Consider the following 17,067-nt stretch of genomic DNA (forward strand, 5'->3'; position numbering starts at 1 on the left):
GAGAAGCAACTAGCTGAGGCTGCTTGTAGTACTAGAGAATACCTGAAGCAGCTTTAGTCCCACTGATCATATTAAAGGTCTTTGTTTCTCATGGATCAGATGGAACACACATGAGAAACACAGCAGGCCTAGTATTGCCATAGATCCTCCCTAAGGGGCCAGCTAGAAGGGCAAGGAGACCTCAGATGCAAGATGGGGGAGGTGAGGCGCCAGACGACCTAGCCTGAATTAGCACTGTAACCAACCAGATGGTGGAAATGTACTGGCCTCTGTGGAAAGAAAAGTAGGAGATGATCCCCAGTGATAGCACCCAGTGGGGAGGGGTTCCAGGAACCCACAGTGCTCTTTACAGAAGCAAGAGATGGCTTGTAATGTCCATCTGGCCATTTGAGACTGCCATTTTATATTAATTAGAATCAAATAGGACTTTATTGCCCCTTAACTTTCTTCAGAAAAAAAACTGGGGAGAGAAATTCCTCAGGGAGAAAGGAAGAGGCTCCAGGGGAAGCATAGAGAAGAGTACTTGGGTTTAGGGGAGAAGGATGAAGTATGTTTCTCTGATGCTACCTTGTGTATGAGTTTACAAGGGCTGCCATGACAAAGTACCATAAACTGAATGGCTTAGAAACAGAAATATATTATCTCACAGTTCTGGAGACCAGAAGTTTGTGATCAAGTGTCAGCAGGATCAAGCCCCCTCTGAAGGTGCCACAGAAGAGTCTGTTCCAGGCCTTTTCCTTAGCTTCTAATAGTACTTTGGCTTGTGTCAGTAAGTCCAATCTTCACATAGCATCTCTGTGTGTGCCTGTGTGTGCGTGTGCCTGTGTGTGAATTTTCCCCTTTTTATAAAGACACTAGTCATATTAGATGAGCCCACCCTAGTGATTTCATTTTAACTTGATTACCACTTTAAATACCCTATCTGCAAATAACATCAAATTCAGCTGTACTGTGGATTTGGCTTCAAACATATATATATCTTTTTGGGGAGATGCAATTCAACCCATAACATCCTACAAACCCTAATATTATGTGCAGGTTATATAAGCAAGAGAGGGAATAATTGATGTATAGAGGGAGAGAATTTGAAGGTAACAGATTAGTCTCAAACTGAGAAAAAAAGTTTTCCTTAAGACTAAAAGAAGTGGGAAAGAAAGAATGATGGTAGACTCAGGCAGTATAATAAAAGTTATGGGGCCAGGAGCGGTGGCTCATGCCTGTAATCCCAGCACTTTGGGAGGCCGAGGCGGGCAGATCACCTGAGGTCAGGAGTTTGAGACCAGCCTGGCCAACATGGTGAAACCCCATCTCTACTAAAAATACAAAAATTAGCTGTGCATGGTGGCAGGCCCCTGTAATCCCAGCTACTCAGGAGGCTGAGGCAGGAGAATTGCTGGAACCTGGGAGGCGGAGGTTGCAGTGAGCCAAGATCGCGCCACTGCACTCCAGCCTGGGTGACAGAGTGAGACTCCGTCTCAGAAAAGAAAATAAAAGAGAAGAGAAGAGAAGAGAAAAAAGGTAAGTTACGGTGACACAGACAGGTATGAGAAAAGATGCTATTTTCTTAAGGAAGTAGAGAAATGGCAAAATGGGCAGCTCAAGTATTCAAGAGAAGCAGCAGAAGAATTGCTGATGGGAAGGGGTAATAAAGAGTCAAAAAGATAAATAAGGATTGACTTGCATTATGGAGAAGCCAAAGGAAAACAGACACCATGAACTTTCAGTGGTTTCAAACCACATTGGTTGTACGATTTTTGTTTTTATAATTTTGTTTTTGGTCTCCAACAGTATTTAAGAATTTCAAGGTGGGAGAAGAGAAAGTGAATTTTTAAAGCAGCATGGCAGAAAAGCAAACCCACTTGGAACTGGACTAATACAGGTTTGGATTTTACCTTTGACAATAGTTGTACAGCAAATTTATAGGTTTTCTAGGAAGTTATAATTTCATCATTTGCAAAATGGTTAAAGTAATACTCTATAAGATTTTTATGAAAATAAAAGGATAGAGGGAAAGTGTTTATCTAATTATTGCTTGACACGCAGAAGGTAATCAATAAACAGATATTTCGTTATTGTTATTATTGTTCTGTTTTCATTGTTAAGACTCTCATCGTCAGTATTATCTATCTAATGGATAGAATGAACAAGGAGCTATCCAGGAAGTACACTGAGATCACAGGTAAAAAAAATATAAAAAAATACATTTTGATACCTTAAAGCACAGCTTTCAAGTAATGCGTGACTAGTTCAAATGTCTGCCCAGCCATCCTGACCACACCATTCATTTTTCAACCCCTTATCCTGTTGGTTTTCTGAATGGCCTTATCATTGTCACACACCTCATTATATGGTTATTTGTTTACTATCTTTTTTCCTCAGAGGTAAATGATATAAGACATGGGTTTATTTCTGTTTTACTTGTGTGTATCTGGCAATTAAACTAGAATCCAGCACACAGGAAATAATAAATATTCATTGATGGAATGAATGCTTTGATGTCACAGCAGTGGAAAATGTCCAGTTAATATTCTAACACAAGTGGTTACATTAGTTTGAAATTAGGCTGAGAGGCCTTGACGTTTTCTAACAATCTGAGATACTAATTAATGAGGTGGTAGTCTATTGTCATTATCCCTAAATGGTATATTTTTAAAGTTCTGAAGACACAGTAAGTTTCACTTACTTTTAAATTTATACTAATTCCCCCAATTCAATAATCCATAGGATTTTCTGTCATTGATGTGATTTAGAAAAGTTTCACTCTGTCTGCTTAATAGCTTTTTCAAAGTGAGAACCAAGCTGATCACAAATACTAAATCAAGGAAATATTATCAACAGCAGCAAAGATACTGGTCTCCATGTGTTCATGCAAAATATCCATTTTAATTTAACTGTAGTTTATATGATATTGGTTTGTTTCGAGGGCAACTGAAACTTTTCTTCAAAAATTAACTCCCAATACTTGCTTCGTGGGATAGGAAGCATTCTGAATGAAAATATCACTACAAGCAATGGAAATTAAAACACCTCAAATGAAATCTTATTTTTATAATTGAGATGGAAAAATTTGAATATATAGAATTTAGGTGAAAGGGATGTTTGCCTGAATTTCTCAGCCTCTATAGTGCACAGCTTTGAAAGCGCTACAGTGCCAGGAATATGCTGGCTCAGCACAGAAACCTAGAAGGAGAAATAATAGCAAATGACTGCCTCAGGTTTGCCCAAATAAATTCCTCCAGATATCTCTAAGAATACAACAATCCAGAGAAATCATTTTCAAAGTGTGCTCTTACCCTTAACTCAATTTTGCTCCTCCAAATAGACTTGTTTGTGCTTTGCTCTGATTAGATTTAAAACTATTATTATCATTACTGATTTGGTAAAACTCATTAATGTAAGCATGACTTTTCTCAAAATACACTTGAAGAAATATCAGGATTAAGACTTACTGGTTTCCTACCAAAACAAGTCCTATTTATTTGCAAAGGAGCTAAACATAGGTCTTTAACAGACTTTAAATTTAAATTAAATTTAATTACATTTAAGAGACATTCACTCTCTCCACCAGTTTTTCTACTTCTTTTACCTCAATTGGTCTATAGCCCTCTGAAGTTAATTTCCAAAAACTATTTACTCACGTGCAAGATAACGCCAAGAAATAAGATGCAGATTAGTGATTTTTTAAACCATGCATTGTGGATTGTAAAGTCCACTTGTTTTATATTTTACAAAATGAAATAGAATAGAATAGAATGCAGAATGTCAGAGTAAGTGACATATTGTAAAAATAAGCATTTTTTGGACAATTTCTATTGCGTGTATGTATTTGGTCCTATGTAAAGTGTGATTTTTACAATAAACTCCAATCAGAAAAGCTTGAAAAACATAGGAGAAGAGAAGAAAATAGAATTTAGAGGTAAATAGGACTAGCCTGAATGGTGGCTGTAACACTCCCTGCATGATATCAAGTAAGTCACGTAACCTCTCAGAGCTTTAAGTTTCTCATCTAAAATGGTGAGAATTCCAGGTATTGTTGATGTGGAAGAGTATTGGTAGATTAGAAGCATTGTAGACATAAGGCAGAACAAACTGGATTGTCATCGTACCTCATCCACATCTGCTTTTAGCACAGATACACATCATTCCAAATATGAATTGCACATTTATGGAAGGGAAGGAGGTATGACACAAAATGTAAAACATGGTAAAAAATAATAACAAACAAAAAAGTGCCTTGCACAGACAGCTTATTCTTAAATGGCACTCATGTCATCGAGCTGTTTTACTGCACTGGTCTGTGGTCTGGGAATTAGCACATGAGATATGCAAAGATGAGTCATGATCTCCATAAATAATATTTTAAAAGGCTACTTAACTAGCCTTTATGTGAAATATAAACCTCTAAGCACTTTATTGTGTCCTTAAATAATTTAGCTCATTGAATGTTTTCCCCCTGAACTCATTCAAATCAGTTATCGTTAGAAGTTCATTTGAAATTCTAGCCATGCCAAGACAGAGTACCAACAGTATTCTGAAGGTTGAAAGTTGCATGGAAATTGAGAATTGGCAACAAGGAGAATTTCCCTCTCGTCAAGTCTAGCTATTTTAGAACTCAGAGAATTAAAAAAGAGATATTCCACATTTTATCAAAGCCATGGTTGTAAATTCTAGTTCCCTAATAAGGCAACCATCTCTGCAGACTTTTAATAATATCACTTGAAATTGTATTTAGTTTTTAAATTTTATCTTGCAAACGGAAAATTATTTTCATTGTACAGGTTGTATAGCTCAATTTAAACATAATCATTGCCTTAGATAACTTACAAAAACAACTTTTAACATGTTCAAAACTTTCACCTGGACTTAGGAAGTTCAAAAATATCCAATGATAGAATACTTGTTTCTGTGTCTCGAGGCAGTTAGATACATGTTTTCCATTCCTTAAAACCTCTTAAATTTTTAAACTTGCATAGTCATATATATCAAAACGTATTTTTAAATTGCACTAAGCTAGATAATTTCTGATTTATTTTCCTTTGAACAACATAACAAGAAAAACAACAGTATTACCTCTATAATAATTAAAGTTAAACAAATTGAGACCATTAGGTTAATAATCCACTGTCACAAATACTATCTTAAGAACTAGTATGTTATACTTAGTCAATTCATGTAATATTACCTCTTGGAGAGCACGATTTGTTAAAAAATTAAGATTAAAATATTATATTGGCATAAATGCAAAGAAAAATTTTTGAGCAAATGTTTGAAGCCAAAAACATCCCTGAGTTTTAAACTTTCTAATTCTTTCTGATTTGCTCTTTCCTTTCTTTTGCAATATGATTTATCTTTGTGATGAAAACACACTTTTATTTATTTTCAGCTGAAAGACTAGTTATAGCTATGACTTTACAACAGCAAAGCTCACCTTATTTTGTTTAAAGACCTTCTTTGTAATTATTTATACTTAATATAGTTTGTGAGTTGTAATTATCCTCTAAATTCATGGTATATGGGCTCCCTCCAGTGGCTAAGTTAGCAACCACAGATCTGAAATGTCTATTTTAAATGACTGATATATTTAAGTAATGATCAGCAATGGTTTCAATATTGCTGAGTTTAAATCTTACAAGCAGCAATAAGTTTTAGGTGAGCATATAACTGCAGTGTTACAACCCTTTCAGAAGAAACGTAGAGCTTGACACAATGCCAGACACCATGCCAACCTCTGAAGAGTCAAGATATAAAGTGACCTCTACCAGGAGCTCATGGCAAAGAGAGGACACAGATGTTTATAAACAGCAAAAATCACCACCCAGCAAAACACAGAGAGGTGAGCACAATAATGATGGCATGCATAAAGTGAAGTAGGAATACCACAGAGTAAATAGCAGATAGGCCAGGGAGAGCTACGCAACAGATGGTAAAATAAGAATCTGTGGTGTGGAAAAGAAGACATTCCAAGCAAAGACATGCATGTTCCAAAACCCAGATTAAAAATAGGTTGGTATATATGGAAAATGAGGTATTTCTATTTGACTGATTAGAGTTCACCAGGGTAACTGGTAAGAGCTAAGTATATTCAAAAAGATAGGAGTCAGAACATGGCGGACATGAGATTCCTACAAGTAGCTGGAAGATGCCTTTTTGCTATGGTTGAATCACTGAAATGTGTGGCTTTTTTTTTTTTTTTTTTTTTTTTTTAAGACAGAGTCTCACTCTGTCACCCTGACTGCAGTGTAATGGCGCAGTCTTGGCTCACTGCAACGTCTGCCTCTGGGTTCAAGTGATTCTCCTGCCTCAGCCTCCTGAGAAGCTGGGGACTACAGGCTCATAGCACCATGCCTGGCTAATTTTTTTTTTTTTTTTTTGTATTTTAAGTTGAGATGGGGTTTCACCATGTTGGCCAGGCTGGTCTCAAACCCCTGACCTCAAGTGATCTGCCCACCTCGGCCTCCCAAAGTGCTGGGATTACAGGTATGAGCCACCATGCCTGGCCCACTGAAGTGTTTTTAAACATGAAAGATTTCCCTTTGGGGAAAATAAAGTATAGTGGCAGTATGCAGGACCGGTTGGAGTGGGAAGTGAAACCAAGTTTAGGGGATTCAACTAGGTAATATTTAGGAAAGAGCTAAATGATAAAAGAAAGTGAATAGTAGTTTGCAAGATGGAAATATGCAGGCAGTCAAGGGATGTTAAGATCTTGGACGTATGGCAGGGAAAGGAAAAAGAGTCTATGAAGTCTCCTAGAAGTTTGATTTACATTAAAATCAAAAATTTTGTGTCTAATTTGTAGAACTTTTTAAAATGTCAAATGATGTCACCAAAATTTTTGCGGTTTCGACAATGACAATTATTTTAATTAGAGAAATAGTTACTTGGGCCACATTAAAGTAAAATTTTTGACTTGTGTAAGGAATTCCTCTCTTCGACATTTGGAATTAATGAGGCTCCTGATATATCCCTGCTCCCATGACAATATGACAGTAAGAGAGATGTTGTGACTCTATGTTTCCACTGGCAAGAATGTTAATGGAAACCAGAAAAAAAGAAGCTTGGGATGCCTGTAATTACATCACCTGAACAGTTTACATGATAAACATGTTAAGTTTGAGTAGGAAAGAGCTGACCTTTGGGATCTTTGATGCTTTGGATATATGTCACTCGTGGCTGCCTCAAGTATCTATATTTTAATAGATACTTACCCATGGTGTAGATACCAACTTCCTAAAGGTAAATGAAAAAAACAAAATAAAACAAAAAATTTCTCTGCCTCCCTTAACACTAAGGCACATATATGTGATTTGGGTTCTACAATCAGATATACCTATGGGGTACTTTAATTTTGAACTGAATTATATGGGGGCAAAGAGGTGGGGCCTGGGCCTTTTTTTCCCCCTGGTATATTTTTATGAACAGGGCAGCACGTCCCTCGAACCAACAGCTATAAAAGAGCTTCCTATTTAGGAGGTACTTGATTGTGGTACAAATTGTGTGATTTTAGAGCCAGAAATTACAGTATTATTTTTCTGATGCAATGATGCATGGATATGAGAGACGCAGTAGTTCCTTTTTGGGAGTGTCAGGGGGTGGGAAGGGCTCATGATATGATATCAGAAAATGTTCTTGACATTCGCACTAGGTTCTGTGTTTGTATTTCTCCAATGTGTTCTTAATACTTTTTTTTTTTTTTAAATGCTTAAACTAGACAGAGGTGAGTTTGTTGTCTGCAATGGAGAATTCTGGCCAAGACACAGACTTCTAGAAGTCATTGTAGGCAGCAAAACTTTAAGAAAAAAACTGGGATCATTTTTCTGATGGCTGTGTTTGTAGGCAGTGAGGAATGAGTTACAATTAGAGTATGGAATATTGGTAGTCCTTGAAAGGCAGTCATGAAATAGCTACTGCTGACGTTATCACCCAAGTACACATGAATACAGACCTATTAAAGGCAAGACTTTGGCTGATCAGGTGGAGGCTGCAATAGTCTTGCCCCTTTCGACTCTGCTAGTTTGGAGGGGTTTTTTACTACCTGAGATAAGAATGCTTAGACCAGAGAATACAATAATGGTTCTCTTGAGCCTGCCACATGGCTATTTCAGAATTCTCACATTATTGATAAACAGGCAAGAGGGGGATTAATACATTGCCTGGGTGACTGATATTGATTACTAAGAACTATATAGTAAGAACAATATAATAAGAACATATACCTCAAACACAGGAGATCCAATGTGCTTCTTCTGAGTATCCGTAGTCTCATGACTAGCTGCAAAATCAAGACTGTGGCGGCTATCCTTATTTTATTTTATGCCCCTTACGGCATCATGTATTTATTTAGCTAACTAAATTCTCCTTTTTTCTACTTCCATTTCTCCTTACTATTTTATATAGGGTGTGCTGATTGTGGCTAACTCTCATTTATTTTCTAGGTTTCAGACGATTAAGATGAGACAGTGACTGAGCAAGAGGAGAAACAAACATCAAACAGATTTTTTTTTCCAGGTAAGCTATGAACCATCTGGTGGATTGGATGACATGTTCAGAGAAGGCATCTTGCTTCTCCTCTAGCCCACCCTAGTTGCACAGTGGGTGTATGGGTGCACAAACAGAAATTTTTGATTTAGGATTATATGCGCAGAACTTCATATAGATGCATTCATGTGATCACCATATTAATTTAACCAAGACTGAGACTGGAGTCTTATCTTAGTGTGTATCGAAAAGAAGACAGCTAAAGCCTAATCAATACCCAGCATGGATTTATTATTTTTGTTGTTATTTGTTAGTTTTTAAAAAACTGAACCATCTAGCTTCCACCTTTATATCAACCAAAACTTATTGTTCCTCTTTATCCACCTAGAGGTTTATTTTATAAACATAGAAAGATGACTAAATCATGTGCACTGGGATTGTATTTTTGTATCGTCAAATGTTAGACTAGGAAGTATGTGAATGAAAATGTACAACTTTCCATCCCTCTAGCATTTAAGTATTACTTTTGAGGCCAATTTATTTTAAAACAAAAAAGAAACAATGCACAATAAGGAGATAAAATTACATTTCAGTGATGTTCGATATCACAAAACATTTTATTATCACCGAACAATGAAGACACCTGGGCACATATTCGCTAATAAAACCCCCCTGAGATCAAGCCTAATGGCTCTACTCTATACTAACACAGCTCATTGTAATGGAATTTTCCTAATATAGATACCTGAATTTGATTTCTGGAGAGTTTCATTTTCATTGCTATTGGAAGACAAACTTCCTACATAAACACATAAGAAAATGTTGTTCATGCAGAAACTACTTCCAGATTTTTTTCTATGTATAGTTCTGTATTGTTTCATATTATTTATACTTCTAGTCTGCTTCATTTCAGTTACTGGAAAAGAACTAAAGTAGATAGATATATTATAACTTCCAATTTACCAGAAGTTGTAAATGCAACATCTCTAGTCATTGTGAATGTGTCAGTTAGGAAGCATTAGCCAAAGTAACACAAGCCAACTAAAGATTACAAAAACAATAGGCCCTTTTTCAAGTAACAGAAGCCTGAAAGTCACTGTTTTCTGGACTGATTGATGAAGCAACTCAATTATGACAAGTTTTCCCTGATCTTATAATCTTTCCCCTGATAAAGCAAAGGCTACCACGACTCTCAGCATCACATTCATAAAGATAATCTCTAAACCAAAGAAATAAAGGAGACATTTTTCCCTACGCATCTCCAGTTTTACTGGACAGGAAAATCTTTCTGAGGACCCCTCAGATGACTTCTCCTCACGTCTCATTGGCCAGAACGGGGTCACATGCCATTTTCCCCATTACAAGCAATTAGGAATGAGATTATAATATTCACATTAGGGCAAAGTTGAGTTATTCCCTCAGACAATAGTTCCCATCAGGAGAACGGGATGTTTATTATTCCCCAGTTGGACATTTTTCAATGCCTGGAGATATTCCTGGCTGTCACAACTTAGGCAGGAGGGTGTCCTACTAGCATATAGCATCTAGATGCCAAGAATGTTACTGTACGTGCTACAATGCCCAGGACAGTGCCCTATGACAAAAAATTATCTGGCCCAAAGTATCAATAGTGCCACAGTTGAGAAACCCTGTCTTAGGATTTAGCTCACCCTCCCTGGTCAAACTGCCTTTTGATATATAAATAAAATCAAGATTCCTTTCACGAGGAAGCAATAGTTTCTCCCACCGGGGAAAAGAATCTATTAGATCAGTGGTTCTCAAATTTCAGAAAACATCAGAGTTATCTAAAGGGCTTGTTAAGCACACATTACTGGTCCCCATTCCCAGACATTCTAATTCAATATGTCTGGGATGGAGGCTCAAAACTTTGCATTTACAACAAGTTCCCAGGTGACAATTATGCAGTTGCTCTAGGCACCACATCTCCAGAACCACTGTTAGATCATGCCCCAGGAGACTGTGAATAAACATTTATCAGTTGTGACATTAGACACCTAACTGAACCTTTTGTGGCTTCTGCTTTCTCCCTGGTAAAATGAACAATATATTAAAGGTTTACTGCTTTATATTTGGTGCCTTTATGTTTGCTTTATATTTGCTCCTACTAAACATAATATATTTGCTATACTAAAGTTTTATTGCTTTATATTTAAATTCTCTGTAGCCAAATTTCCCACTAAAATGATGATTCCTCCCTGCCCTACTCCCAATAGTATCAGAAAAGTTGAAGTCTTGCTTAAGATATAGTAAAAATGGAACAACTTTAACTAATAAACAGACCAGTTGAATTCCTTCTAAGTAAAAGACCAAAAACAGCTAGCTTCAATGTCAGGTGACACGGTTTAAGTTAAGTGGTTGGGCAGGTGGCAAGACATGCTTTTCAACCCTATGTTCAAAAAAAGCACTTGAGAAACTGCACTAAGAGTCTAAGTAGGTTATTTACAAAACAAGAAACACAAATTGCTAGTGAGAAAATGTTCAACCTAACAAAAATCAAAGATATGCCAATTAAAACAACCATGAGATACTTTCTATGTTTCAACAAAGATAAAAGCAGAAAAGGGAAACATTGAATGTTGGCAATTTAGAGGAAAACAGTTGGAGCCACGTCTCACCTTATTTAGCAAATTTAACTCTAGTTGGATAACAGAGTCAAATGTGAAAGGCAAATCAAATTATGGAAAAAATCAAATGGAAAATAAAATGGAATATTTTCAGATCAATGGAAGAAAGCAACCTACCCAGCTTCAACACATGAGAAAAACATTGTGACCTCTTTATAATAATGTTGTTATTGATTACAATAATATATCTTTGCTGATTACTATAACAAAAAGAAAAACAAAGATCTTAGAAAAATGTCAATTTAAATATATGAGAAAAGTGGTTAAGATGCATACTTTATTAGTGTTCATTTAGGTTCTTAGAAAAATAGCAAAACAAAGCAATAGATACATGGGGCCAGAATAAGAACTGACAATTCAGAGAAGACAGACTATAGTATGGACTTAAACCAAGAAGTTAAATTGAAAAAATAAAAATAGTGGTATTAGCTTGTTGTCAATATAAAAGACATACAATACATATGTACATACATACACACGTTAAAAGAAAAATAATTCATTGTGATTTGTTCAGTAGGTGGTACTTGGCACCTAGTAAAAGGTCTCTAGTGACTGACTTTGGCCTTGCACTGGGATAAAAGCTGGTAATTAATTAAGTCCCCATGCCTGGACATCATCTAATTTAGTTCATACAATAGCCCTCCCAGGAAAGCACTATAATCTCCACTTTATAGATGACGACACTAAGGTTCAGAGAGGTAAAGCCACCAGCCAGGTCTTGCCTGGCATCCATGCCTGTGCTCTTCCTACTGTAATCTTGGTATTGCCCTTGGATGATGATAATAAACATCATAACACTAATGAGCAACATTTATTGAGTAGCAAGTGCTGCGCTAAGCAAATTGGCTGCATTATTTTATTTAATTCTCAATATAATCCTGTTATCTATTTCCATTTATAGATGATAAAATTAAAAGGCTATGTTTAAGGTCATAGAACGGTTAAATCCTTGTGATCCCCCTGCCTCGGCATCCCAAAGTGCTGGGATTACAGGCGTGAGCCACTTATTTACCTCTTAATTTCCACCCACGCCTCCCAAGCCTAAACTTTGGTTTACAGTTGAATCTTCATCATCATATTTACCAATGCTTTATCTCCAAAGTTTGGAAGCATATAGAAAGCTGAGAATTAAAATAAACTAAGAAGCTTCCTGTCTCTCAAAAAGTACATTAAACAGCTACCAACATACACATTAGGCAATAATGTAATAATAGTGTGGGAGTAGGATAGTTACAGGAGTAATAAAAATGGTTGGTGTGCATTGCATGCATTGTGGATGCCAGGCACTGTGATATAAGCTTTAGAAACACTGCCATTTAATCCTCACAGCAATCTAAGGTACATCATTATCCTCATTCCACAGATGAGATTAAAGTTTAGGATGGTTAAATAAACAGTTCACTGGTAGTGTCGCAATCTGATACTTTATTTAGCACCAAAGCTTACGTGTTCGACCAATGTATTAACTTGCAAAACAAGCAACTTTGAAGAAAGCTATAAATGTGACAAGTATTAGGGGATAAGTTGGTACAGGAAGACCCAGACTAACAGGTTATTTGAGGTTAAAAAGGAAAGTAGAAATACTTGGATAACGAAAGAAGAATCTCAGCAAAGGGAAGGAAGACACAGAAGAGCGTTCAGTCTAGTATTAAAACTACCATGTTTAGTTCCCTTGTTTCCTCGTATCAGCTTTCAAGAATGGCAGGATGGTCACAGTCTCTCTGTCCATTGGGTGATAAGCTATTCTTTATTCCCTTTGGTCTCCTGAAACATGACACTAAACTTCAAGTTCCATTCAGTAATGAAATTCAAGGTTGTGCCTAGAGAATTAGATTAAAAGTTTCTTTCATTCATGACAAAACATTTGTAGAAATCTGTATTACCTATACACATTTAAAACTTTATTTCAAATTAAATTTAAGCTTAAAACCTTCAAGGATACACAATTCTTTTGTAATGCTCTCAATGGTCATCATGGTCTCAAGGGCTCATAAAGGCCTCAAACAGTAAAAATAGGTCTTCTAGTCCATGATTTAACTGAGACAAGTATGACTTGTGTTGTTCTATGTTAGGGTGGGAAATGTCATAGGGCTTCATTTGTTCTAGTTCCTTCATTTTACAGAAACAAAAATAGAGATCGATCCAGAGGGATGATGTGACTTTGCCAAGGTGATCACCGGTATCTTGGTAGGAAATAGCGGAGTATCTGATGGGAATAGATCAAGTTACATGACTTTGTTTTCTCCTATTCCTTTTCCTCCTTTTATAGAATCAAGTAGCTTTCATTGAGACGATAAACGAAAAGAAAGGGGTTCTCCAGGAGTAGAAATTAATCGGTCTTTTTAAAGAAACAGCAGAATGGTGTCATTGAAAATTATTTTTCTTAAGTCACTATTTTTATTTATTTCTAAAACTTTATCTTCAAGGAAGCAAGGCAGAGTCATTTAAAAGAAAATGGCATTTTAAAAAACTGTTGCTAGATGACGAGTTAGTGGGTGCAGCACACCAGCATGTCACATGTATACATATGCATATGTAACTAACCTGCACATTGTGTACATGTACCCTAAAACTTAAAGTATAATAATAATTAAAAAACTGATAATACACCCCTTTAGTAGGAGTAACTGGCTGCTTTACTGAAGAGTTTTATTTTGATAGACTTTCAGTGGTCTTTGTTCTTTATCTAACCTCATCAATACAGACCTGTTTCTGTCATCTTTGAGACCACAACTCAAACTTCACCATTGGTCTAATAAAACTGAGTTTCTGGCATGGTGATTTGTAAGTAAACAACCTTCGCAGTGCTAGCTTTGCAACCCCATACCTATAAAATGATTGCACCTGTTGCACCATGACTTGCGGTCTTGAGACCAGAAGATCAACTAAATCTCCCGGTCATCTTTCTAAAAAGGGTGACCCATTTTAATAACTAGTAATATGAACATGCTTTCTAGCCTTAGGGCAGAAACCGATCATGAAAAGAATTTCAGGAGGCATTTCCTTCTCTTTCAAACAGACTATTATAGAATTAGATGAGTATGAGGAGACTTACTTCAGGGATCACAGCAGGGGGCAAAAGGCAAGATTTGGTGCAATGATTCAGTCATTTAAAATTGTGACCCTAACTCTATTGTGTCACATTCACACCTGTACTCTATTTTTAAAAGATCTTCGGAGTCTCTGAGGCTGGCTTCATAGACAGTATCATCTCAGGCAGTCAAAAGGCCAAGTATCTAAACAAGTATTGTATGAAAATCAAAATTGATGGCTGCTACAGAACTTTTACAAGTTGATGGAAATGTATTTTGATCATGGTGATGATTGCAGTGGTATAAAAATTTCTCAAAATTCATTGAACTGTACATTTAAAAAGGGTGCATTTTATTTTACAGAAATCGTATCTCAATAAGCATTTTTTAAAATGACAGCTGTCTATGTCATCCATGAACACGTCTCTCTGGCAAAAGCAATAGAAATAATGAAGTCAGCTTTGAGTAAACCCTAATAAAGATTAAATATGGCATTCAAGACTTTGTGCAGTCATGAGCAGAAAGACTTTCCTGTGAGAAACTGGGGGTGATAATTAAAGATCTACTGGGAAATTTATCTTACACTCAAAGATAAAAAGTCACTCAATATGAGCCTCTGGAATTTGTTTTTTTCTTTATCAAACCAACCATAGAGTGTATCAGCATGTTTGATGACTTTTCAAAGGTTTGCATCCCCATATGTGTATACAATTTATTATTATAATTGGTGGTCAGGCATGGTGGCTCACGCCTGTAATCCCAGTACTTTGGGAGGCAGAGGCAGGCAGATCATGAGGTCAGGAGCTTGAGACCATCCTGGACAACATGGTTGAAATCCCATCTCTACTAAAAACACAAAAATTAGCTGGGTGTGGTGACAAGTACCTGTAATCCCAGCTACTCTGGAGGCTGAGGCAGGAGAATGGCTTGAACCCAGGAGGCGGAGGTTGCAGTGAGCCGAGATCATGCCACTGCACTCCAGCCTGGTGACAGAGTGAGACTCCATCTCAAAAAAAAAAAAAAAAAAAAAGAATTGGTAAAGCTCAAGATTCAATATGCATTTTAACTATGAAGAGTATATATTTTTCTGCTTGTTTCAACAAAATAAAGTGTGGCATAGTTCTTTTGGGATTACTGAATATGTATTTTAAAAAACTACTATGCAGGCTAATTTCCGAAATACGTAATATCATACATACTGAGATACAAAAGAATGTTCACATCTTTGATTACGTTGAGTTGGCAAAGTCACGTCATCTTTCTGGATTCTTCTTTCTGTTTCTGTAAAATGAAGGGCCTAGCCTAGATAAAGCTTTATGATATTTCCAGCCCTAATGCAGAATAACACAAATCACACAGCAAATCACGGAGCAGAAGCATATTATTACTGACTGGAAATTCTCTCTTCTGTTATTGTCTACTGCTTTGTTTTCTTTTGTGATGCTAGATTTAGGGAGAAAGAATAGCACTTATAAGAAAATGAGAAAATGTTTGCATTATGTCATTGGATTGCAGAAAGAACAGTACTTATGAGAAAATAAGAAAATGTTTGCATTATGTTGTTGAGACACACAACAGACTCTCAAATACTGGTTTCTTCTAAGCAGAATGATATTGATAGATGGAATATTCTAGAATATGGGTTTATCTGAAAGTACAAGAAAGAAAAAAGAATATTTTTGATGAGTGAAAAATAAACTACGATTCATCTCATTAATACTATAACAAAAAATCTATAATAGATTAAAATACCTTTCACTGTAAGAAGTTGAACACATCTTTGACTTTCAGGGAAATAATGATATGTATTAGAGATTATGACATTATAGAATCTTGGATATTTACAAGATAAATTAATGTTCATCAGTATCAGTTTCCCAGAGTATCATGGTGGTCCAGTAACAAAAAATCCAAAAAAAAAAAAAAAAAAAAAAACCCTAAACCTGCCTTTATTATTTTTAATGTTATAAAGGGAAATGCACAAAAACAACTTTTCATAGCTGTCACTTTGTATGCATAACTCAAGCTGTGATTAATATTTTAGAGATAAATACTCAGAGATAGCAGCAGACTTTTCTTTTATCACATAAAGGCTAAATTTTATCCAAGGTTGTATTTATTCATTTACTTTAGCTTGTCAGCATCAGGCAATCATTCTCAATTTCTAACCAAGGCACACTGCTCAACTTAAGAAGGGCTGATAGAAAAATGGGTTTGACCCAAGAAGCTAAACTCTTCAGAATCTGGAAGATAAAAAATGAAAGGAAGGAAAGCAAATGATGGAAGTCCAGAGCATCAGAAATATTATATAAAATTTGGACATAAGGCTTAAAGGTAGGTGGCATTTCTTTTAATCTCATACATGGTCAAAGGTTATTCAAGGATCATCTGTGGTAATATATATATATATATATATATTCAGTTCAACACACTTTTTACTATTGATTAAATGTCTCAAACAAAATAAAGTTACTTGCTAACCTGACCTTTGTCTGATAGAGGCAGAAATAAAAAGTTCATATATTTGCTTTATATGTACCTGACAATTATTTTAGTTCTGGAAAATCGTATTTTAACAAGATCAAAACTACAAATGAAAACTGTTAATTGTTGTTTTAAAAAAGATTAAAAAGACTGAACCATGTAGCTGGAATTTATATGAATTATGGATGCTTAGGAGAAAACCTACAAATAAATACCTAACAAGTGGGTTCAAGTCCCATAAAAAGGAAGCAGTGCTGTATATTCAATTTCTTCTGCTTAGAAAGAATTAAACTTCCGCATATCCATCTCTTACTCATCTTCTAAAACCCAGCCACACAACATTTTGCAAGGCTATCAGTGTTTCCCCATGGACTGTTACTTCCTTCAAATCATTTGTTCATCCTTCTTCAAAGTACCTACTATTTTGTACT

The 17,067-nt window shown here is 36.0% G+C and overlaps 1 protein-coding gene across 10 annotated transcripts in view; it reads right to left on the bottom strand.

The window, feature by feature from the left end:
• The window catches only part of ZNF385D (zinc finger protein 385D), a 960,546-nt gene that overhangs the window by 476,924 nt on the left and 466,555 nt on the right, over positions 1–17,067 (bottom strand). The gene's annotated exons all lie outside the window — the stretch shown is intronic.

The sequence above is a fragment of the Homo sapiens genome, chromosome 3, assembly GCF_000001405.40.
Source record: "Homo sapiens chromosome 3, GRCh38.p14 Primary Assembly".
Lineage (NCBI taxonomy): Eukaryota > Metazoa > Chordata > Mammalia > Primates > Hominidae > Homo > Homo sapiens.